Raw genomic sequence first — 26823 nt, 5'->3', positions numbered from 1 at the left:
ATATGCTTTACACATATCTAGGTAGTGATCTGACACCCTGAGTACATCATGCTATTATGTTACATGTACAGTAGAACCAACATCGATATAATGAAGGCTTATAGCATAGTTTCTTTACTAATCCAGATGATGGAATTGTGTGTGTATTTCTTTCAATTTTACTTTTATTAGATAGTTATGTAAAATATAAGTATGTAAAATTACTTTTATTCATTGATCTTGTAAACAACTATAAAGAAAGGACACCCACACTATTTATCAGCAAACCAAGTTTACAGAATCCAAGTAGCACCTGAATTAAAAGCAAAAAAGCAGTTATGCCCCTGTAACAGTGACATTCTGATTTCCGCTTTTTAAATCATGAAACTGAAGCTCTGCTTTTTATTTCCTTCATAACTCCTTCTCCCGTCTGCTCCTTCTGGAGCACATTTCCACATCTTGAGAAAAACCATTTATCACGTTTTCTAAGAAATCATTTAAAAAAACAGTTCCTAGAACAGCAAGGCACATTCTATTTCAAAAATGGTGACTGTCTAACCAAAACAAAGAGCATTCTTGTTTTTTAGTTCACATCTAACACTCTTGTAGAAGCTTATCATTCAAGAAGGAAACTGTAGCAGAATGTTTCAGAGAACATAAACATGGCCCTTGATTTATGGGTTGTATAAGATATTTGTCTCAATCGTTTGGAATACTGGAGAGTTTTGTTGTGTCTACTTGCAGAAACAAATCTCTACTGTGCTTAAAATACTAACACTTCAGCAAAGTCAACGTATCTCTGTTTCTCTGTACAATTAGGGAATTACCTTTACTCCCCTGCCTGTGGACCCCTGGTTTTACACCATGCATTCCTGCCTACTTGATTTGTAATGCTTTGCAACTCCACATGCTAATATGATGCTCTTCCATACCAAACTCCAGTAACTATTTACATTGTACTGAAAATAGAGACAGTTTAATAGTGAGTATTTTAACACAGAGGCAAATACTCTGCAGTCTAAGTCTCATTTGTTCATGTTCCTTAAAGAAAATAACTAATAATGCTTTTCTTACCGCAAAGAAAATACCAGGAGATAAAAAGAATGCAGTGGTTAAAAAAAAAAAAAAAAAAAAAAGGAAGAAAATGGAAGAAGAGAAAAAGGCAAAGGAAAAGAAGTGTAGAATAGGTCAGGCACGGTGGCTCATGCCTGTAATCCCAGCACTTTGCAAGGCCCAGGCTGGCGGATCACGAGGTCAGGAGATGGAGACCATCCTGGCTAACACAGTGAAACCCTGTCTCTACTAAAAATACAAAAAATAAGCCGGCCATGGTGGAGGGCGCATATAGTCCCAGCTACTCGGGAGGCTGAGACAGGAGAATGGCGTGAACCTGGGAGGTGGGGCTTGCAGTGAGCCGAGATCATGCCACTGCACTCCAGCCTGGGTGACAGAGAGAGACTCTGTCTCAAAAAAAATAAAAATACAAAAAAGAAATGTAGAATAAATTCCTTCCCCATCTCTCATTTAATATAGAAGTAGATTATAAAATAAGCTAAGTGTAGGTCGGGCGTGGTGGCTCACACCTGTAATCCCAGTACTTTGGGAGGCTGAGGCAGGAGGATCACCTGAGGTCAGGAGTTCGTGACCAGCCTGGCCAACATGGTGAAACCCCATCTCTACTAAAAATACCAAAAATTAGCCAAGAGTAGTGGCAGTCTCCTGTAATGCCAGCTACTTGGGAGGCTGAGACAGGAGAATCACTTGAACTGGGGAGGTGGAGTGAGCCAAGATGGCGCCATTGCACTCCAGACTGGGCAAGAAGAGTGAAACTCCCTCTCAAAAAAAAAAAAGAAAGAAAAGAAAAAAGCTATGTGTAGAAACCGATTCTTCAGTTCCGAGTGTTGGTACATCATGATACATGCCATACTGAAGAATCAGTTAGCTTGCTTCAGTTCTTCTGCTGATTGATACTTATGATAGACATGGGGCAAACAATCCAAATTTATAAACCTAAATTTATCAATCTGTAATATGAGTGTAATAATAATATTTTTCTGATTTGGGTGCTATTTATGGCTATATTTCTAGCATGTTTAAAGTATACGATACATTGTAGCCTTGCAATAACTGTCTGTGAAATTAACAAAATAATGCACTGTATCTAAAGTACTGGAACATAGCCAACTGTCACTAATGATAAGCATTTTAACATTGTTTTAATTCTGTGTTTCTGTTGGTTGATGTGTGCTGGAGTTACCCATACTTCATTGTGGGCTTTACTGCGCTTCTTGGTACAATAGTGATTGGCTTATTGAGTATATTAAGGGTAAAGATCCATATCTCCTTACTCCTCATCTCATATTTTTCAATTTGCTGATAACTCAACTTTGCTTGGGCTATAGAAAGGAAGTGATCAAAACTGACTTCTGAAAGGATACACGATTCATCTACTTCAGTCTAGGTATCATGCAAGTGCTCATTGACAAACCCTGAATAAATGTGTCAGATGGAAAAATTTTCTCCAGGCAAAAAATAATATGTCTACGAGGACTGTGAGAACTGAAACAGTGCTATTGGTTCTCCTTTGATCCAGATAGCGGAAGAGCTGAAATCAATGCTGGTTTGAGTGACTGGAGAAACGAGATGAGGAAAGTAGCTGTGAGGAGACATATTCTGAAGGTGACAGCTAGCATATGGAATGAGAGTTGGATTCATTTGTTCTATGTATCCAGAACTGTGGATTCAGTGGGAAAAAGTGTAGCAGTGGTCTGTCAGAAAGTATATTGTTTAGTCTTTGTTTGTCCAGAATGGGGTTGAACAGATGTCTACATCTTAACAAGAAAGCAAGTAGAAGACACTGGACTGCATTAGCAGAGACTTGTGTAGCTGAATCTGTCTGGAGAGCAAACTCATTAGCCTAAATCATGGAATAAATCATGTATACCAAGCACACCAAGAAACAATGTCAGTAATAAAATAATAGCAAAATTCACAGAAATAGGCATAACTCGTATAAACCTTCTTCCTTCCCATTTAAAATATTTATTATCCTGGGATGTAAGTGATGATAGAAATTGCTTCTAGTGGAATTCCACATTATGCTGTAGTGCATGTAGTCTGCCACTAAATTTAGCTCCTTCCTTCCTCTTTCCTTTCTTCCTTTTTTCTTTTCCTTTCTTTATTTCTTAAACCCTTCCTCCTTCTTCTCCCCCTTCCTTCTCTCTCTCTTTCTATTTTTTTCTTCTCCTCCTTTTTTTTTTCACTACAGCAATTTTCTTCTGACATTATGGTTAGTTGGCTTACAAGTTGGAAATGAGATGCTAGACTGTACATATGCTCAAAAGAGATTTTTTTCTCTCTCTCTCAAGTTTCTGAAACCACTCAAGCTTTCCTGGCAAATATTAAGCTTATAACCCTTTAAGAACTATGAAAGTCATAGTGCAGTGTTCCTAACAGGGGAAACCAGAGATTAAATAAAGACAGATTCATATACAGCTCTATTGCATTTTTTTAAGCAGCTTTGCTTTTAAACCTAGAAACAGACAGGATATTGTTGATTTAGATATTATGGGAAGGTCACATGTTAAAAGTCTTTCTCCCACACATTAAAAAACCCACAAGAAATATCTTGTTGAAGTTCAATTCCCAACACCTCAGAAAGTCCTATCTTCTTACTTCTTCAGTCCTTTGGCACATTCTTACTGCCCCATTATCCACCCCAAACCAGCAGCTGCTTAAGATGGAATTCACAGACAGCTGCTGGGAATATTTTTCAAACACGAAGAAACGTAAGTTGAAAAGTTCACAACAAAGTTTTACCCATTCTCAAACAAGGAGGCTGCAACACTTATGATAGTCATATAAAAGGGAGATCACTGAGTAAGGAAAAAATATGTTTGAAGGTGTTAAAATACTATTTTCTACTAGCAAATTAACAAATTTATTAGGATGCAATGCTAGTTGCAGTGAAGCTGTTGGCACTTTTATTTACCTCTATTAGGAATATAAATAAGAACATTTTGTAAGTTTAAGGATGTTGATGTTAGCAGAAAATAGAAAAAATAATGTCCTATAATACTGACTATAATTCTGTATATAGATCAGGTGAAACTCTCTGCCATTGCAAATATAATATTACAAAATAATATCTGAAGACTCTTGAGAATGCTCATAACATATTAAATAAAAAAGGTTATAAAACAATATATGAAACTGTTTTATTTTGTAAACATATATGTATATACAATTGTATTTACCAAAATATAAACAGTAGTTATTTCTGGTTGGTAGAATTTAGAAGTAGATATTCATTTTATTCTCAATTGCTTTTATACAAGTCTGTCCTCCAATCAAATTGCATTATTCTTAAAATATCATGGTAGCATAAAGTACTTTGAAAAGAAAGTAGCAATTCTCTTGTCGTAGGTAAAGCTATATCTGGAACAGGAAACAAAGATCCAACTGGGTTTTTCTTTCTGTTGCGAGATCTTTGGATTCTGGGCTCATTGATAGATGTAGTACGTGATAAATATGCAAGTTAATGGTGTTGGTTTGGGTTGATTTGGGTGCAAGTAATATATTTGAAAGTGAGAGGGAAGAACTGAGACAGGGAAAGAGAAAGGTACGTTAATGAATAGGTCACAGAAAAAGGAACATTAATGAATTGGTCACTGCTGTAGATAACTAAGTCTCAGTCCAACGTGGACACTTTGAGAACCTGTGTTGAATGTGCATAGAAATTATGCCACTAAGTAGTGAAGATGCTGTGAGAGCTGTCCACTAATTTCTTTTTTCTTTTTTTTTTTTTTTTTTTTGTTGTTGTTGTTGTTTTGTTTTGAGATGGAGTTTCACTCTTGTTGCCCAGGCTGGAGTACAATGGCTCACTGCAACTGGAGTACGATCTCAGCTCACTGCAACCTCTGCCTCCCGGGTTCAAGGGATTCACCTGCCTCAGCCGCCCGAGTAGCTGGGATTACAGATATGCGCCACCACGCCCTGCTAATTTTGTATTTTTAGTAGAGATGGGGTTTCTTTATGTTGGTCGGGCTGGTCTCGAACTCCCAACCTCAGGTGATTTACCCACTTCAGCCTCTCAAAGTGCTGGGATTATAGGTGTGAGCCACCGTGCCCAGCCCTATCCACCAATTTCTATCCTTCATTGGTTGAGGGTCACTTCAGTGGGTTAACTTGCATTTTCAATTTGTGTAACATAGAATACCCACAAATGACTGGCAGAGAAAATACTTGGGGCACCAACAGAGTCTTCTACATCAGGGGCCCCCAACGGCTACTGGTCTAGGGCGTGTTAGGAACTGGGCCACACAGCAGGAGGTTAGTGGCAGGCAAGCAAGCATTACTGCCTTAGCTCAACCTCCTGTCAGATCAGTGGCAGCATTTGATTCTCATAGGAGTGTGAACCCTATTGTGAACTGTGCAGGTGAGGGATCTAGGTTGTGAGCTCCTTATGAGAATCTAATGCCTGTTGATCTGAGCTGGAACAGTTTCATCCCAAAACCATCTCCCCACACCCTGTAGTCCGTAGAAAAATTGTTTTTCATGAAACTGCTCTTTGGTGCCAAAAAAAGTTGGGGACTGCTGCTCTACATAGCTTTATATGATGTTTGCATTTACAAGTGAATATGCTGTTACTCAGTGGATGATATATTCCTGGATCAGAGGGTGACTGGTGATTGTAGAAATTTGGGTTTCAGTTCTGGTGTTTGCTAGCTACGCGGGCTTTGATAAGAACAGAATGTCTCTGGGTCTTAATGTCCTAATTTGCAACAACACGGCCAACCATGCTACCTGAAAATGACTCCAAGCATCACTGAGTTTTGGAAAGATTAAAACAAACTAAAATGTGCCTCATGGTTTCACCTCCATTTACCAACTGGGATTGGAAAAGACTGAACAAAAATTAAAAAGTAAAGTTGAAGCTTGTGCACAGGCAAAATCAGGGATAATAGAATGTTCCAAGATTTCTTAGAAATTCCTAATTTTATATCATCTGTCTGTAAGAAGAATATTATCACCTCAGGTCCTACACATTGGTGTTTTGGTCTCAGCAGATTCCCAGACCTAAGGTCTCCGGTGTATCTGGGGCCAAAATAAATAAAATCCTCGCCGATATTTTTCTGGTTAATATAGCTGGATTCTTCTCTTTTAAAAAATTATTTTCCAAGAATGTAATATTTCTATGATGGTTGTACCTAGTCAACATTATTAGTTTCGTTTGCTCCCTGCAGGGGCAGAATTGACCCTCAGGTCTATGGGGATGGATCCAGCTTTCTCCCCTGTGGGGTTCTCTAAGTTGGCAGCCTTTCCTACCTCACCCCCAAGCTCCCTTTTGCACGTGCAGCCACACTCATCACATTGGGGTGCAGCTCATCTTTCATGGCTGGCAGGCTGCCAACACTGCTTTGAACTGTGGAAAATCTGAGAAGTGCTTGATAGCTTTTTATATAGCTTGGTTTGATACCAATAACTCTTGAGTGTGGATGTCAAGGCAACAAAGCTGCAGCTCACAAAGAAAGAAAAATAATAATAAAATAAATCCCCAAAGATTATAAGTGAATAATCTGTGAAATGCTCAGAAGAATTTTCCTATTGTTTCTCCGCATGTTACTCAGAGGGCCTTGTTAATTAAGGTTCAGGACCAAGAAGTGAATCTGTCATCAAGTCGCCATTCCTCCTGCATGCATAACAAATTGCTCACATAAACTGTCCCCAAATCTCATCATCTCTCACTTCCCCCCTCCAGGAACTTTAAAGGATTGCGCTGCTATACTAGCCTGCAGTTCCATTATGTGAGAAGCACAATTTGGCTTTAGCTGCAATTTTCAAATATTTATGAAAGCAAGATTAGGGGCAGAACTAAACAAGATCTGTGCACATGTCTTGTGAATTAATAGTTTCAGTATTTTATGGGGTTGGACTTCCAAGGAGATAGGTGAGAAAAAAGCTGGGTGGAGGGGCGGACCATGACCTCTCACAAGTTTACACACACAAAAAGTTGGTATCCATTCCTATTAGGATAATTTATCAACAGAGTCCCCTAAAACAGAGAAGCTTAATCTCAGGCTTAGCTCACTTCTCTTTTGAAATCACAGAATTCATAACAGGCTCAGCATTTGGTCAGTGTGTATTTTCTTTTCCCATAGGGCCTGCAAAGAGAAAAAGAAAAGCATAGATGAGGTTTAAATAAATGGAGCTATGCCAAAGAATTTAGCATAGTCATTTGTCTTTGGTACCTTAACAGAGCAGAGAAAGAAGTTCTTGGAGTCAACCTCAGGCTGTGCAGAACAATGTCAATTCAAAATAATTGGAATTTATTACCATAAACTAAACAGAGTAGGCAAGGGCTTTCTTACTCCGTCCTAAACTTCACTTTGGTTGTAGTTAATCCCATCAAAGGATAAAAGAAAAGTTGTATATTAATACATTTAGATCCATCTTGGGGTAATTTTGCAAATTGCACGCAATCTATGGTAGGTACTTGATTTTTTTTTATGTTTCCCATGATTACCCACTTTGCTCCATTTTCATATCATTAAGGTCTCTTTTGATTCACCCTGCTAACACTTTTTCATCTTTACCCATCTTTCCTTAGCAGCGTTGTGGCTTGGTATTCAAGGTATTGAGTAGTATATCAAAGGATGTGGGTTTTCATACTGTCATGGGTTGAATTGTGTTTCCCCAAAATTTATATTTGGAAGTCTAATCCCTCCCACCTCAGAATGAGACCTTATTTATGGATAAGATATATATGGAGGTAATAAAGTTAAAGTGAGATCATTAGGACAGATCCAAATCCAATATGATGGTGTCCTCATAAGAAATAAACATTTGGACACAGGCTTCCCTGCAGGAAGCATGCCATTTGAACATGAAGAGAGCCAAGGAGAGAGCCAGCTTGTCAGCCAAGGAGACAGCCATGGAACGGATCCTTCCCTCACACCCCACAGAAGGATATTGTGTCCACAATTGGTTCCTGCCGGTGGGTTCGTGGTCTCGCTGACTTCAAGAATGGAGCCGCAGACCTTTGCGGTGAGTGTTACAGCTCTTAAAGATGGCATGGACCCGAAGAATAAGTGGTAGCAAGGTTTATTGTGAAGAGTGAAAGGACAAAGCTTCCACAGTGTGGAAGGGGACCCGAGCAGGCTGCCACTGCTGGCTGGGGTGGCCAGCTTTTATTCCCTTATTGTCTTCTCCCATGTTGCGTTTCTGTCCTATCAGAGTGCCCTTTTCTTCAATCCTCCCCACGATTGTCTACTTTTAGAATCCTACTGATTGCTGCATTTTACAGAGAACTGATTGGTGGGTTTTACAATCCTCTTGTAAGACAGAAAATTTCTCCAAGTCCCTACTCGACCCAGGAAGTCCAGCTGGCGTCACCTCTCAATATAACCCTGCCAACAATTTGATTGCAAATTTCTGGCCTCCACACTGAGAGACAATAAATTTCTGTTTAAACAACCCAATTTGTGGTTATTACAGCAGGCCCAGAAAATGAATGTATATAACTGTTAGTTATTTCCTAGGTAACCCAGGGCATGCCACTTCTTGCCTCTGGGTCTTTGTTTATTTAAATACAATACAGTGATAATTATTCCTGCTTCAAATATTTTAAAGATAGTGGCAAAACTCAGGTAAGATGACAGCTGTAGAAATAATTAAAAGTGTATATACTACTGTGTATACTATTTGAAACAAGTGTCATAGTAGATGTTTTAAAGATAAAATTGGATGGTGTTCAAAATTATTTTACTATCAAAGTATCTGAAATTTTGTATTATTTGTTTCTATGGTCAAGATACGTTTTCAAATTATGAACAATTTTCAGAATAGCTCTAATAGTTCGGAGACCAGGGCAATAATCTTCATAGAGAAATAGGAACTGAAATAGAATAATGAATTTAGTTATTTCAGAATAGTAGTGACAGACATTGAACAGTTAAAGGAAAAGAAAGCTAATTGTCATGAATGTCACTTGAACAGCCTTATGTTTGTTTTAAGAGCCTGGACTCTTGATTCTAATTTGTACATGCATCTAATTCACATACATTTGCATACAGATTATGGAGTCCTATATTCCAAATGTAAAATTCATAATGAGAATTAAACCAGTAATTTTTATACTCTCTGAAATGTACAAAGCATTTTTAAAGCTCTTATGATTTACCCATCCAATAATTTGAGGTAAGATCAATGGGGAATGCACCATTGCTTCGTTTTTACACAAAGGAGGAGAATTTATGTTTAGTAAGTGCACTGCACATGCCCATTAAAGGAAAAAAAGGGGAGAGATGGGAAGGGGACGGGAAGAGAGGGAAGGGGAAGGGGAGGGAGGGGAGGGGCAGGAATTACTCAAATCCAATCTGAAAATGAATTTCCTGAAGCTCATCCTTCCACTGGAAGGATACTGATTCCTTCCTCAATGCTCAAGCATTATTCAAAGCCCCCCTAAATCAGTATGGCTTCTTCTTAACAGAAAGTTTTAAACAGACAGACTAATATTTTCTTGCCCAGATTGAGAAATGTAAGTGGAACTTCTGAAAATATGTTTATTCTTTGGTGCTTGAAATGTGGTGTAAGTTTTCTAAATAAGCCAATATTTTATTGCCTTAAGCCTTTTTATACAATACATCATTAATGTATTTATGAGATAGTGTTTATGAATTAAAAATAAGAATTATGATTATATGTATTTTCATTAGCATAATAATTTTACTAATCAGCCCAGTACAAGATCCTCTTGCCCCATTTCCTTGGGAAACATTAAGCTGACATAATTGCAGGCCTGTAGGGCAGAACACATGCTAGAGGGTATTCCTAGGGCACACCATTTGAAGAGAGGAAGCTAGGTAGAGAAGAAGCCAAACAATGTAAAATAAAGGTGACCCTCATAGTTTTCATGGAAACTGATAAGACCAGGATTAGAGAGGAGGAGGGGGACTGTTCCTGCATGATGGGTAAAGTACTGAAGCTCATTACTGTCCCTCCCCCACTTTATTTTAATTTATTTCCTTCAGTGATAAATGCTGACTTTGGTTCTAAACCTACTTGCCAATACTGAAACAGCTTGGATGCTCTCAACTGTCATGTTAACTCAGCCGAACTGTCATTTGCAGAAACCTTTGCAAATTTACTTTGTATTGAGCTGGTAACATCTGACTAATTTCCACTAATACTGCATAGCAGCTATAACTACTTTTGCAGAGCACATTAGCCTTGTTTAACCGGCATCATAAATAATAAATTCAAACTGCTGGGAATTGGCTTATATTCCGTATTGCTTTTTGACGTATTTTTGGAGTCAGGTACATTATTTCACGCTAATGATTCTGCTAAACCCAGAGGCTTTTGTCTGTTATTCTTACATCCCAACCAAATAGTTTAAAGAAATAAAGCATCAGGCACTCTTTTCTCATATTCCCAATGTTCCAATCTTGTCTCCAGAAAATAAAAATGTGCAGTTATCCAACAGCTCCTTGACAGCTCATTTGAATGGAGCCCTGGGCTGATTTCTCAAAACCCCTTCAGCCATCTCCACCCTATCTCCTTATTCTTGGGGTAGCATTGCGGATTTAGCATCGAGGTCTAGGGAATTCTCAAAGTTGTATCAGAGAAATAAAAGAATGGCAGCAGTTATGAGATACCAGAAAAGTAAATCATTTCCAACAAATTAGAACCAAATCTAAGCACATCTACTTGCTAAACTGTACAGGGGAAGCAGTCTAACGTTTGCTCTTAGTGATGGTGTGCTGGGAGCAGTATTTACCCTGCACCTGCTCTTTAAAGGGATGAACGATAAATGAGGGCAGTGCCTGTTGAGGAGGAAGCATCATAAGGAGAATGGTTAATACTGTAATGTTGGCTACAGCAACATGAAGGATTGACATCAATAGTGTAGGGGCTTTAAATGACAAGGGAGTGGGTGTGAACACACATCAACATAAAAATAAATTCTCATTACCCATGGGTTATTAGGAACTGGGCCACCTTGATTAATTTACTGTTGATATCAATTCTCCCTAATATATCAACGCATTAATCATGTTTGCTAGTTTCCATATCTCACATTTTCACATCCAGGGACTTGCTGCCTCCAGAATCAATGCTCCTCCTCCCAGTGATAGCTAAATTCTGGAAACAGCAAACAACTCCCTGTGAGAATGTCCTTGATATGCAAAGCAAACAATCTAGAGTTCTTCCCCTTCTCCACCACCTGGTTTATCTGCTTTCTCTGGGCTCTTAGACTTGTGGGACAGTAATCCTTTTGCCCTAATCTCTCCAGGCCTAAGTCTCAAACAACTAGGCCCAGGCTTTACATGCTAGATCCCTATGAAATTATTTAACATAGTCAATACTCTCCTGGTCAGTCCCCTTGCTCTGCCTTGCCCACACCTTCTCTGGAAAACACCACGAAGGCTTTCTGTTTGCTCTTGCTCACTCCCTCTGCCCGTGACCAATCTCCAGACTCTCTTCTGTGACTTTGCTTAGGGTGATGTGCCCCTCTCCTCTTGGACACTGTCAGGAATAAACCATCTCTTGAATGGCAATTGTCTTCAGTTCTGTTGCATGGTGAATACTTGAATAAAACTAAAATCCCAGGTACATTTTTAAGGCAAGGACACCAATGACTTGGCCATTCAAGGATATCAGTTACTAAGTGAAGGAAAATATTCATTTTTAAAACAACTATTAAATATAGGACAAAAGAAAATGGTAGAAAAGCAAATGGCACTGCTCTGTCACCCTCACCTCAAACTGCATGATCCTCCATGTCTGGGGATGAGATGGGATGATTGCTGGCCTTCATGACCTATCTGGCAGCATAAGCTGGCTCCTCTTGGGTCTCTGTTTTTGTTGTTTGGGTTTGTGTTGTAAGAGAAATTTCGGATAGAGTTGACTGTGAAGAATCACAGCAGCCTTATCCATCTTCTGTCTGCAGGTGGGCTAGCCACCTTAGCTTTCAGCCTGCCACACCCTTCCACTCTCAGTAACATCATCTTTTATTTATCTTAAGAGTCTGTCATAACAAATGAGAATTTGGTCTGGATACATAACCTTACTTAGGAAGACAAGATTTAGCAACACGAGTGAAAAATATTTTTGAGTTATTTATGCTTATTTTCACTCTGAGTTTTATAGGGAGTAACCACTATAAAACAAAAAACAAAAAACAAAAATTAAAAAAAATATTTAATATGGCTATGCAAATTCTGAGAAACTAAAATGGAGACTTGGGAGTCTGCAAACTACATTTCCCATTTTTTCTTTGCCAGTCAGCTTCTTGTTCGGTTCTGTCAGCAAGAGGCATGGGGGCAGATTAGAAGGCAGGAGGAGGGAGAAATCTTTCCACTTACTCTTTGTCTTTTCCTTCATTGACAGTGTCTCTGGAAGGATCTGCCTGGCTTCCGCCACTCCAGCATCCACAGCGTGGTCCTTCCTCTCAGACCTCAGTGCAGAAAGTAGTGGCAACCTTTGAAGTGGGAACTTTCTTCTGCTCCCAGGACCTGGTTCCAACACCTCCTTTCTTTAGTTCCTCAGCCTTCCTGGAGTTAATAACCTTCAGTTTACCTCCCATTCCCCTATTTGTCTTTCAGGTGTTGTCCCACCCATGTGACCAGTCTTTGTACTACAGCACTTATATTTGGAATATCCAGTAACCAATTAATCATTGTATTACATCATTTATTTTCTTTTCTTTTTATTACACCATTTCTAATTGAAACATTCAGATTTCTTTTTTCCTGACTAGACTTTGACTAATACAAAGGAGCATATATGGGAGAAAAAAATAGGAGGCTTTCTTGGTAGCTGATTCATGGGGGAAATATGAAAAATGGAAAATATGTGGTAATTAATTTGTATAATGAAAATCCTTCTTTAATTTTGCCTTTCACAACTTTAATAACATTTTTCCTTTCTTGCCAATCATTTTGTTGTAAAATTACCTTCTTTTTTGTTTGCTTTTCTGTTAAAAACATGCAATAAGTAATACATATAAATATATAAAGATATGTATATAAGTAAAATTTATCTCTATACAATAATAATAAACACCATGTCTTTGTTCACCACCCTGATTAAGACACAGAATAATCTATATATCCAGTTCATCACATTTTTCTCCCTCCCTCTAATAGAAAACCACTATTCCAAATTTCATTTATCATCCCCTTGTATGTCTTAATAATGCTACTACATATGTATTTATGCGTATATGACACATTGTATATTTATGTTTTATGTTCTTGGGCATTATATAACTGGTATAATTCTATAAGTACTTTTTTGTGGGTTTCTCAATTTTATTCAAAATTAAGTTCATTTGAATTAGCCACAGTAATTTTTTTTTTTTTTTGCTCTAGGTCTCTTGCTTGGTTCCCAGTGCACAGGTATAAGAATTTCTCAAAAGTATGTGCCTAGGTTTCATATGGCTGAGTCATGATTTGCGTGTATGTGTCCCTCCAAAATTCGTATGGTGGAACTTATGACTCAATGTGATAGTATTAAGAGATGGTGTTTTAGAAGGTGATGACGTCTTGAGGGCAGAGCCCTCACAAATGGGATTAATGTCCTTATAAAGGAGGTTTCAGAGAGCTATCTGACCCTTTTGTCCTTCCATTTCTCTGCCATGGAAAATGCAGTATTCTTCCCTTTTGCCTTTCCTCCTTCTGCCAGGTGAGTTTGCCACCTTCAGCAGAACACTCAACCTGCTGTCACCTTAATCTTGGACTTCCCGCCTTCAGAAATGTGAGAAATAAATTTACATTCTTTATACATTCCCAGTCTAAGTTATTTCGTTATAGTAGTAAAAACAAAGACATGCGTGTATCTTCTATTTTATGAGATAATATCGCATTATTTTCCAAGGTAGTGGTAGAATTTATTTTCCCTCCGTAAGTGCACATATGTTCCTATTTCCCTATTAATCCACATTATCTCCATGACTTGATCTTGTCAGATTATTTTGCCAATCTAATGAGTAAAAATGGTAGTTCATTATTTTAATTTGCAGTACATTGCTTGCTAGTGAAGTGAAATATTTTTCATATGTTTATTGGCTATTAGTCTTTGCTTTGTTAAATACTTGTGTATTTTACCAATTTTTCTATTTTTTTATTATAAAGGCTTTTAAATGTTTCTTGACTGTATTTTGTCCACTAACCCTTTGTTCATTATGTATGTTGTAAATATTTCTTTCTAGTTTGTGTTGGTATTTTCACTTTAAACACACGTTGCTAATTTTAAAACGGATGGATTTATCATTTCCCTTATTATTACCACTTTTGCTTTAATTATTTTTGTTTTCCTTATCATCACCAAGATTTAAAGATGTTTTCCTATTCTTTTCTCTAACAATTTAGAGTTCCACCTTGTACATAATTTTGGTCAATAATTTATTTGAAAATGTGTGTGTGTAAAAACCTATACATATCAAGTAATATTTTCTGCTTTGCAAACAATTCTATTCTGTGCCTTTGACTTATTCATTTATGATCATGACAATCCATCCTGTCTTATTTCTATTACTTCAAATGAATAATATCATCTGGCATAGGAAATCCACCATCACCATGTTTTTGTTCAGTAATATGTTGGCCATATTTTGCCTTTGCTCTTCCATATAAATTTCATAGTCCATATAAGAGTCTGTGAGAAGTGTTTTTGGGATTTTGATTAGAATTGCATTGATCAAATTATGTGAAGCATTTTACAACAATGCTTGGCCAGTAGTTAGCATCCAATAAACAACATCTGTTATTACTAGCTACTAATATACCTGTTCTGCTCATAAGTGAATAAAACCTGGGCACTAAGTTACAAAAAAAAATTACATCAATCAATTTGGAGAGGATTCAAATCCATAGTAGATATGATGGAAAGACTTGCTCAACCCCTATTCTAACCTCTTATATAGGTTTACAGGTTTTGTGTCTACTGCAAATAAAATATATGTCACAAATAATGTACATTTTGTAAAATTTCTTGCAATTATTATCCTGACTACAACTCATCTTTTTCAATACCATGCATGTCTGATCAAATTAAGTTTGGGACCAAGTAAATTGGGAGAAAGAGCAGCGCATATGAAGCACACACTTTGCTGGTGTGGAGTTGCCAGGCGTGTTGTGACTTTAGAGACAATAGATTTGGAAGCTGCTTCTTAACCTTGGGATCAGAAATAAGAAAATATAATCCTGGACCAATATTCATGATACTGGCATCTTCAGCTCTCAGTTTTCTGAATGTGGCTGAAGCAGCATGTCTTGGTAGGACAATTCTGATTACTACTTGGAGAGTAGTTCTGAGAAGCCCATCTGGATATGATCCCTCTAATATTTCTAGTAATCACGTTAACATTAACATCCCAGCTTTAAATCTTTTCTGCTCTGATAAAATCCTGTTCTGAGATAGATCTATGAATGCAAGATCTATTTGAAACAGAGGCTGAATCAAGACAAGAGGGCAAGAGTATGAAGACAGATTCCCTCTGTGGCACACAGGAAGACTGAGGACTCAGAGAGGAGTACAACTACGGAGAATACGCTTGGGATTTAATCCCCCACCCTAAGGAGGAGGCTTTGTTAAATAAATTTGTTTCCTGTGGTGTACTGAGCTAAACATATAGTTATAAAACCTCAAGCCAACTCAACTGACAAGACTGACTCAGTCCACGACACTAGCTGCTTGAGAAGAGACACATTCCCGTTCCCATGCGTGAACCCCATTGACCTCAGCCTCTCCTTCTCTAGGAGATATCTAGAATATGCACAAAAATCCAAACATGCATACATTCACATGCATAATACAATCAAGAAAAATTACCCATTGTCAATAGTCAGAGCAATGAACAGGACCAGATTCAGAGATGATGCAGCTGTTAGAACTATCAGATAGTGAATATCATATAACTTTGATTAGCATGTTAAAAATGCAGTGGAAAAGGTAGACAGCATGTGAAGAGATGGGACACTTCAGAAAAAAAGATGAAAACTGTGAAAGATCATGAAAGTTGAACACTAATTAAAGTGGTAAGAACAGATTTTTTTTTTTTTTTTTTTTTTTTGAGACGGAGTCTCTCTCTGTCACCCAGGCTGGAGTGCAGTGGCATGATCTCGGTTCACTGCAAGCCCCGCCTCCCGGGTTCACGCCATTCTCCTGTCTCAGCCTCCGGAGTAGCTGGGACTACAGGCACCCGCCACCACGCCCGGCTAATTTTTTTGTAATTTTAGTACAGATGGGGTTTCACTGTGTTAGCCAGGATAGTCTTGATCTCCTGACATCGTGATCCACCTGCCTCGGCCTCCCAAAGTGCTGGGATTACAGGCGTGAGCCACCGCACCTAGCAAGAACAGATGTTAATAATTTAGTTGAATAATGGAGCTCCACTTTGATTTGTGAGAGGTGTGCAGAGGTGGGCATTTGAAAGATAGAATGAAGGCTTTGGGGTCAGGCAAAGGGTGCTTCAGTGGAGTCATGAAAGTAAAAAAATTACAAAGGGCTTGTCAGTATAAATGTTTATTAGTCCATTTCTGTTAACTGGCCATTAAAAAGTTAGGATTATATTCTACCACGAAGACTGGGGGACAGATGTCTTATCCTTTTGTATGGTTGTGTTTTAGAGGAATGGATTTTAGTCTTCGAGGAAGACACTCTAGAGTTGTGTGAGATACATAAACATTACAAAGAGACAGAGGAAGGATTCAGAATCATATGCCCTTAGCAAATGCTCTGAGAAAGGGTGGTCTGAGGCCTGTCACCAGGTGTTGGTTACAATAAAAACAACAAATTATTTTGTCAACTTTGGGCTTTCTTAGGCAGGCACTTTAAGCTGGGCTAGGGTCATCCTGATCATTTAGATAGTATGTAAGTGTTTAAGTCTTTTCATGTGCGGGGAGGAGGTGGAAAAATCATTCATGTTGAGAGTTTGAGTTTTCTATGGCTAAGATTGAGGCCTAGTCAAGAACAGGGATCAGAGGAACCTAGCTAAAATTCGGTCAAGGAACGAGTCTTTGTCAAAACCCTAAGAGAGAGTCAAATGGAAGTGGTAAAAATTAAAATACATGGTATCATAAGCTGAGGAAAACTTTGAAGTGCTCATCATTCAATTGGACATTTCCAAAAGTTAATCATTCAATTTGAACATGAGTCAATAGTAAGCACCCCAACCGAAACACAGAGAAATGAGGAGAACAGGGCATCTAAGAGCAGTGGGACAATATTAAGTAGCATAGCATGTGTGTAACTAGAATCTCAGGAGAAGAAAGAAAGGAGCCGAAAAACAAATTGAAGTAATAATGACCAAAAAAAGTTTTTAAAACAATGAAAGGCATCAAACCAGAGATCCAAAAAGCCCAGAGACTCTTAAGCAGAATGGATTTACATATGCAAAAGTAAAACAGCCAATGACAATAGCCCAAAGTAAGGACAGAAGGAATTGATAACATACTGCTGTAAGGTTATGTTACATGAAGGGGAATAATATCATGTGAAAATAGTGATAAGTTAGGATGTATGCTGCTAAACTTATAGCAATCACCAAAGTAAAACAGCAAAGAATGAATAATAATTAAGTAAAAATAAAGACATAATGGAATTATAAAAGTATTAACTAAAACTAATGCATAAGCAGGGAGATAATAGGGACAAAGTGAAAGAAAAAATGACAAATGGAAAAAAATAGGAAACCATCAACAAGATAGCAGATTTAAATTCGATGATAATAGTAACTAGTGTAAATGTAAACAGTCTAAGTATCCCAAATGAAAGACAAATTTTTCACTCTGCATAAAAAGCAAGGGACAATTATATGTTACCCAATAAAACCCACCTATAAGTAAAAACATGCGGGGGAATAATTTACACATTCCTTAAGCCACAGAAAGCTGGAAAGAGCATCATTCCTACCTTACTGATAAGAAAAAATAAACAAATAACCAGGACTACCTTTTCTTGAACTCACTGTAAAGCTGAGGTTGCAAGGCAAACAAATAAACAAAAAAAGCCAAGGATACAAGGAAAGACAAACGTCCACAAAGAAGAATGTCATGAGCTGTGACTAGCTGTGACAGCACAGGAGGAAAAGTTATTCTATGACATAGAAGAGGGTATGAAAATAAAGATGAAAATGTTAATGAATTGCTAATGTTTTATTGTAGGCTAGTCTGATAGAACAGAATCTCTATGATCCTCAAAAATAAAAGAGTTTGTGAACACTCCCAGGCTATTCTCCCTGAATTCCACTGGCTGCTCTCTCTCACTCTCTCTCTCTCTCTCTCTCTCTCTCTGTCACACACACATACACACACACACACACACACACACACATAAATAAGGAATAGGGTGAGAGGGCACAAAGTTTTTTTCGGTAGTGTAGACATCAAAAAGTGAACTGGTCACCACTATAAAAAGCACAAAGTCTCACAGGATCTTTTTATTTTTTCTCTACGGAAAAAAATCCTTAAGCCTCTAATAGAGAGTAGTAAATCCTGTCATCTCCCAGGGACAGGTAAAGAACATTTTGCAGCTGGTAGAAGAGTGACAGGGAAAAAAATTACCCTAGGAAAGGGGCAGGCAAAAACCCTAGGCTTAGGATCCTATACCAATGCTGTTAAACATCTCCTACCACAGGGGATGGTTAGGAAATTGTTTTCTGTACAGAACCTACCAAAGTCAAAAGCCACAATATGGCAGAGCCACTGACAAATCTGTTTCGGATACCTAGGGAAACAGGGTCTGCCCATAGCCAAGTTTCATCATCAGGACAATAGAAGAAAGCTCTGTCCCCAAGCAACAGTCCAGGGGTCACTGAGTAAAAAGCAATAACAGTAAGTTTGGGGAGGTGCAGAAACATGGGAAGAGAACATATTTGTGACTCGGGGGCACCAGTGGACTAAAAGCTTAGAATGGAGTGGGAACATTGAGGACAACTGCAAGCACCCCAGACTCCCCACTAAATACAAGGTAGCAGAATTTGATGCTGAGGATGCAATGAAGGTATCCATAACGGCAACTCAGCACAAACCCAAATATTAGTGGTTTAAATACACCAAATAAATGTAGAGACTGCCCAATTCTATTTTAAAAAATCTACATGCTGTCTACAAGAAACTTACTTTATATATAAAGACATATCTAGGATTAAAAAAAATAAGAAAGAAAATGCCCTGCAACCCTTTTGAAAAGGAAGCTGAAATGGCTATATCAATGTCAGAAAAAATAGACTTCAGAATAAAAAGTATTGCTCACAATAATGAGGGAAATACATAAAAAAAGGAGTCAGTTTTCATAGTAGGTACAAAAATTCTAAATATGAATGCATCTTACAACAAAGCTTTAACATACATGAAACAAAAGCTGTTAGAACATAAAGGAAAATTAGACAACTCCACAATTATAATTGGAGACTTCAACCCCTTTCTCTCTGTAACTGATGAAAAGAAAGCATCCAGGAAAATCAGTAAAAAATATTCAAAGTGTGAATAACACAACCAATTCGAACTCTTTGACACTAATAGATACAAGTATATTCTTAAAGTGTTTTTCGAACATTTATCAAAATGCATCAAAAAAGAGATGTCCATGCATTTAAAAGACTTGAAATCGCACAAAATATTTTTCTTATCACAACAGAATTAAACTAAAAAATAAAAACAGAAAAATATCTGGAAAACTATCCAAATATGTATAAATTGAACAGGACAAAAAGGTAGTCACAAATTAGTAAATATTTTGAGGTGAATACAAATGAAAAGACCACATATAATTTGTGGAATACAGCTGAAGCAAAGCTGAGAGGGAAATATACTGCATTAAATGCATATATTGGGAATAAAAGAGAAATATCTGAAATCATGACCTAACCTTCTAACTGAAGAAATTAAGGAAAATAGAGGAACGTAAATTAAAATTAATCAGAAGGAAGAAAATCATGATAGTAAGGGCAGAAATCAAAATATCTGGAAACAGAAAACAATAGAAAGAATAAATGACCTCTGAACATTATTACCTTACATCAGATTCTCCAGTAGCAGCCCCTGAAGCATGGTGCAGTGATGAATTAAGGAAGTGCAAGAGTTTAAGGAAGGGAAATCCAGGGAGTTAGGAGCAGGACAGGGTGGACCAAGGAGCCAAGCAAAGCTGTAATTTCAAGCAAAATTCTAACCTTATTCTGACCCTGCAGAGAGTTCTGGAGCGTAAATTACACTGAGTTTGTTCAGCCTCAAGGCAAGACAGCAGCACTTTCACATCTAGAGTCAGTCAGAGACTACATGGGGGTGGGTTGCAGAATTGATAAGATGAATCCAAGGAGATATGGGCAGTGTCTGCTACAGTTAGTAAGATTTATTCTCTTTTTCGAGGTAAAAACATAGTTTAAGATTTGAAGGAGACAGTCTCTAATACACTGGTGGACATATGTTTTACTGTTCTTCATTACAAATAAAAACTATAGGCTTCTGAATATGGGCCATATTAACTCCTTCTTTACATTGCCTCTTGGCTTACCAGGTGGCATCTAGTGGTTGCTTTGGCATTGTGTTTCTTTTTATTCCTTGCATTTGCTGCACCTGTCATGGCTTAAAGACAACAACATTGATCTTTTCTTTTCTTTCTTTCTTTTTTTTTGCAGTCTCATTCTTTCTCCCAGGCTGGAGTGTAATGGTGTGATCTCCACTCACTGCAACCTCCGCCTCCCGGGTTCAAGCAATTCTCCTGCCTCAGCCTCCCGAGTAGCTGGGATTACAGGCATGCACCATCATGCCTGGCTAATTTTTGTATTTTTAGTAGAGATGGGGTTTCACCATGTTGGTCAGGCTGGTCTTGAACTCCTGACCTCAGGTGACCCGCCCGCCTTAGCCTCCCAAAGTGCTGGGATTACAGGCGTTAGCCACCATGCCCCTCCGCTATTTATTTCTAATCTTACTGATATACTCCCAAGCATGGCTCTAGTAGCAGTGTTTGCTTTCATTTCATATCCTTTATATGTTTCCTAGAACTATTTATTTTCCAGAGCTTTCTGTCCATGCACGATGTAAGGTGACAAATCATTATCATGCATAGAGCTTCTTTCAAAAAGCTGACAAGTGTTACAAGTTGAGATGACTTTCTCCAGAGTGAATTCTTTCCCCCATAGTCCACATGCCAGGGGAATTCATATTTGAAACTTGGCCTTGCTTGATCTCGAGCCGGGTTTCTTAAGCTTTTGAAACAGAAGTGTCTTTTTGTGTGTGGACAAGGAATTCATTGCAATGCATTCAAGGCAGCACGTTGAAGAGTATTTAGCAGCACCGATGGCCTCTGCCACTCCAATCGTGACAACCAAAAATGTCTCCAGACATTGCCAAATATCTCCTGGAGAGAGATATTGCCCCCAGTTGAGAACTACAGTTATAGAGCAGAGCTTATAAAAAATAACTTCCTGTGATGATGGAAATTATCTGTTTGTGTGGTCCAATATGGCCGTGTTAGCCATATGCGGCGATTAGGCACTTGAAGTGTGGCCCCCATGCCAGAGATGAATTTTTTTTTTTTTAATTGAGACGGAGTCTCACTCTGTCGCCCAGGCTGGAGTGCAGTGGCGCGATCTCGGCTCACTGCAAGCTCCGCCTCCCGGGTTCACTCCATTCTCCTGCCTCAGCCTCCAGGGTAGCTGGGACTACAGGGGCGCGCCACCACGCCCAGCTAATTTTTTTTGTATTTTTAGTAGAGACGGGGTTTCACCGTGTTAGCCAGGATGGTCGCGATCTCCCGACCTCGTGATCTGCCCGCCTCGGTCTCCCAAAGTGCTGGGATTACAGGCGTGAGCCACCGCGCCAGACTGAGATGAATTCTTAATTACATTTAATTTTATTAATTTAAATCTAAGTTTAAATGGCCATATGTAACTCATGACTACTGTTGAAAAGAGCGATGCTTGAGTCTTGGCTCAAGACAGCTGGAAGTTCTACTGTGCCCTATCTCTCTTTTCCCCGGAGCTCCTACAGAGAGCCCAATTTCTTATGGCAGGCAGACAAAGTAAGTCTTCATTCTGGGATCTTGGCTATAATCACTATTCTTAAAACCCTATAATTCATTATAGCTTACAAGTGTTTTCAGAATATTATTAAAAATGAGTTGCCCTATCTTTTGAAGTATACAAATCTCTCTTTTCTAATATACAAATTGGAATCAATGATTTTTCCACCGTTAGAGGTAGTATGTGGCAGAATCTGCCTCAGAAATCATATTCTTCCACTCAGAATCCGTAAACCTCCATATATTTCTTTTTCTTGATAAATATTTCTTTCATAAAAATTTCTCAACTACGTCTATCCCTTTCTGACAGAGCAGTGCTCACTTTAAGTTCCTGTGGCCTTACCTTTATGTGACATCATCACACTCTTATTTATTGTTCTGCCATATTTTGTTACTTCCTATGTGTGTATTCTACCTCTAACTAGATTGAACTTTTGTTACATGAACATAGCTGAGTATGTGAAACTAGAAAACCTTCAAAATCAGATTTGTAAACCTACGAAAAATAAATCCTGGTATTGTATCTCTTTTGAAGAGTGTGCCTGTATCTAGTTAAACAGAGAAATCTTAATGAGGGAAACACAACTCATTTGGTCAAATTTGGTTTGTATTTTTCATTCATTTTTTGTTTAATTTTAAAAACAACCTTAGGTTTCTAAAAGAAATGTTGCAAATATTAACTACAATTTGAAAGCAAGTAAGAGAATGTTAAAGAAATAATTTAGATTCAATATCAATGAATTATGGAATTCAATTATTCTCAGAATAGTTCAAACTCTTTTGCTACTTCTTATTAAGAGAAATACTTGGAATTGTAAACTAGGAAGTTATTGATATCTAGTTCTGCATTCAAAGTATTATCAGAAAATGTTCAAGTAAAATAAAGCTTAGAGTGTTAGACATAGCATGGAATCAAACTGTAATATAGTTTTTTTTTCAGTGCAGCAAAAATGGCACTTTATTTTGACCCAGGGCATGTTTTCCATCTTAAAACTGATTGTTACCAAAAAAATTTAAATTGTCAACAAAAATGGGCACATTAAATAGCAATTGAATCTGAAAGTAGTTTCTTCCAAAATATCACAAGATTTTCTCAGTCACCTTTGACCAATTATGTATTGGTCATCTTAATTGGGTAAAATGTTAATATTAAACCTTATAATGTATCTATTATCATATATTTTCAAACTGCCTGTCTTTTTAAACCTCCTGAAGTCAGTTTAGGTATCCTCTGATATGGTAACTTGAGCTTGTAACCATGTGTTAATTTGCATTAATATATACTGTTTCTTGAATAAATATTTTGTTGACTACCATGAGGTATAATATCCAGATAACTGAATTTTTGTTAAATAGATTTCTTTCAAGATCCTGCAAAGTGCTATGGGCTTTATAGTCACTAAGTAAAATATTATGTAAATAAATGCATTAATAAACAATACATGAAATATTATTATTAAAATTTATGACAAAAACCTTTCTGTGAATGGGAGGTGAGATATCAATTTAGAAATATTTCCTATATTGCCTATGATCAGATTGATGACTTTTTGGGCAAGTGATAATTGTAAGAGCACCTACTGAAACACTAGAGAAAATGACAATATTTTAGAGATTAAAAGTTAGTCTCTTTTTTCCATTTTCCCATGTTTTTGAATTTGACCATGTCTGGAATAGATAGACATTGAACTCATGGTTAAAAAAATACAATCTCCAACTGGTACATTTTATCTTCATTTATACTTAATTCATCAAACATGCTTTCATAGTATCTCTTTGATATTCATAATGGCTTTCTTAGTAAGTCATGGAAAGTTTTTTCTTTGAATGGGGACATGACACTTTGCCAACAGTCCATAGAACATGGTTAACTTTCTCAGAATCCCTAAGAGGATTGCAAATGAAAGAACCTTCTGCTGTCACCCGGATGTGATCAGAGAGTTTTCACCAGTCGTGAGTGCCAGAGTCAGGCTCCACTCAGGGGTGACTACGATTCAGAATGCAGTGTGTAGGCGTTTTTAATTGAGCGGATGGAAATGGTTGACAGAGTAATGGTTGCAATTGTTCACCATTCACATGGAAAAGAATTTGCTCAGTAAATAGGAGGCATTGTTTCCAACCTAATTTAATGGAAACACAGAAGGTATAAGAAGGTAATGTGCCAACTGACACTGGGTGTAAAATAAGGCATTTTAGACACTTTTGTGCAAATGTCCATCAGCTGACATCTGTCAAAGCAGCCTCCTGGGACGGCTTCAGAGCATATCCATTTGCCAGCAGCAAACATTTAGTGAGCTTCATTCTCTGAGGAGCAGAGTGTTGGTTTGTTTTGGAATGTGAGCATTTGAAATAACCCACTTTTCCCCAACACCAAACTACTACATAAACACCATTGAGCCTGGTTATACAGTAAAAGGAATAGGCTATTTTGCATATGGATACCAATCCTTAGGTTGGCTGAGAGGCAATGGGAGTGCATGAGAGAAGACACATGTGATACAACTTGTTATATTGTAGCCTGAATAAAGGCTTTAAGGTCTAAAGAATATTACTTCCATCAAATGAATAAACTTAAATGGGTTCCAAGCTGCCTAACCATGCACTCCACTAAAGCATGTGGTGTACGTTTGTGTGTTTGCTTCTGTGGGCTGGCCTGATTTCCATTTCAATTTCTGTATTATACAGTCTTATAAAGGAAACTGTAAAAATTATCTGTATTCTATAACTTTAAATTGACTCAACAATACTTAGAAGAAAGTAATTCTGGCAGTGTATCCTGAAGGTAAGATGCATCTCTATTTTTCTACATCTTTCTTTACAAAATGAGCCCATCTGTGGCAAATTTAAATTTCCTGGGTTTGGCAGAGCAGACCACTCCTGTTATCTTTACCAACCTGGTCCAATATCATGCCCTGATCTTAGGGTGCGGATTTAGATACAATTGTCCAGGAATCCAGAAAGAGTCAAGGTAGTGAAACCTCAATCACAACTTCACAATGTGGATATAAATGTCTTGATATACATGGTGTTTTAAAATTCAACTTTTAAAAATAAATAAAAAGCTATGTAATTCTTTGAAAAAAATTTTCATTCTGGTTTAGAATGAATGAAATGCATTTTTTTTTAGTTCACACAATTATTAAATTTTCCATAACTATGAGGTTTCAAACTTGGCAAGTACCGTCTATCTTACGCAGTCTCTCCATTAATTCTGTGAAGAAATGAAGGCTAAGTAAATGTCTTAGTTTAGGGTCATATACTGGAATATGCAAAGTTACTCAGTATATTACAGGAGAGCTATAGTGTTATTGAGGTATTGGTGGGATTATTATTATTATTTAGACTCAATTATTAGGGATCAAAATTCAGTTACTTCATAGTTTTCCATTCTATGCCACATTCTTGTTTGAATTCAGATTCATTGAGTGCAGAATGATATTAGAATCAGCACTGTACTTTACAGCTTTTCCAAATATATGTGACTCCCGGCTTACCTACTCATTTAGATTATTTACAGATGGACTCCTAAAATAACACTAGTGCTTAACAAGCAACTCTACTGAAATATAAAAGATAGCTTTGTTGTATAGAACTGTTCAGATTTACTCACTGAAAAACGTTGAGCATTGGTGCTTATATTCACTGTTGATATAGGACCTCTTTTTACTAGATAGTGTGATAGACACTTGGCACACGTGGGCTTTAATTCTTACAACGCTTTTTGTTTGATGTTTTCTATAAAATAAATTAATTGAGGTAGATATTTCTGCATTACAGATGATGAAACTGGAGATGTCACTTAGTGGAGATTCAAACTTTTCTTTCTAAACTGATGTTTTTTCTACTCTGACACACTTCACCTAAGTAGCATTATTCTAATATTAGTAACATTACCATAGCAATCTAATTACTTTTAATGGTTCTTTCATTTCGGCCATTTCTTTTTTCTCTTTTGCCATTTTCCTTCTCTTGTTTTCTTTTGTACACATGTGACCCAGGCGTGTCTATTGGGTAGCAGAGCACGCAGAAGGTCATGTCTTCAATTTTATGGTCAGTTAGCAGTACTTAGATCTACCACTGTGGCAGATGGGACTGACACAAGAGGTGGAGTGAATGAGTTCAGTCCAGCGCCAGACTTTTATGACCCCTGGGCTCCTGGGCATGTTCCTGTGAAGTTGACCCACACATGTGCATTCTTATAGAAGCTCATGTGCAGTAGTGATTTTACACACACACACACACAAAACACTGAAAGGCCAAGGTCTCAATTCTCATCTTTCTTTTTCGGGAATTGAAACGAGTCTAGGGACAAAAGTTTTGCTGGCCTCTGTGTGAACTTGCTGGGTCACATTCTCCATGGTGGCCTGCTTTAAATCTGGTAACTCAGGCATTTTTTTTTTCTAGATATTCTTTTTAGCTATGATTTCTTAAAAGTTTAGAAACAAGCTTTGGACAATGCTGCCAATCAGGAAATAACAAAGCTATAGTAAGCTAGGAGGTGGTGAAAGGTGAATCCTCATAGCAAGAAATATCTCCTTTTTCATCCTGACCTGCAATTACTTTTGACATCTAGAGGGATGGACCCATAGTACCTCTGAACAAACAGTGACACTACATATGTCTCAGAGCTGTCATAATACTCTGTGAACCAGTTTGCATGCTATTTCTGTGACAAGACCATGTTCTCAAAGTGATACTGTCTTCTTTAAGAGCCCCAAGGTAAAAAAGCAAGATTACTATGCCCTACGTAGCACATTGGCGCCGTGAAGCTTGGACCCCAACGGAGGATAGCAGTCATCAATTAAAAAGCATGGCTCA

General features: G+C 37.7%; 1 annotated feature.

The window, feature by feature from the left end:
- Positions 11955-13154: an enhancer, noted in NCBI's record as "BRD4-independent group 4 enhancer chr14:84327620-84328819 (GRCh37/hg19 assembly coordinates)". NCBI's record gives its function as "activates an origin of replication core promoter dependent on BRD2, P300/CBP, MED14 and CDK7 cofactors, and independent of BRD4, by STARR-seq in HCT116 cells {active_cell/tissue: HCT116}" and the evidence as "EXISTENCE:reporter gene assay evidence [ECO:0000049][PMID:35650434]".

Source organism: Homo sapiens, chromosome 14 (genome assembly GCF_000001405.40).
Source record: "Homo sapiens chromosome 14, GRCh38.p14 Primary Assembly".
NCBI classification, from domain to species: Eukaryota; Metazoa; Chordata; class Mammalia; order Primates; family Hominidae; genus Homo; species Homo sapiens.
This window is presented reverse-complemented; position numbering and strand designations above follow the sequence as displayed.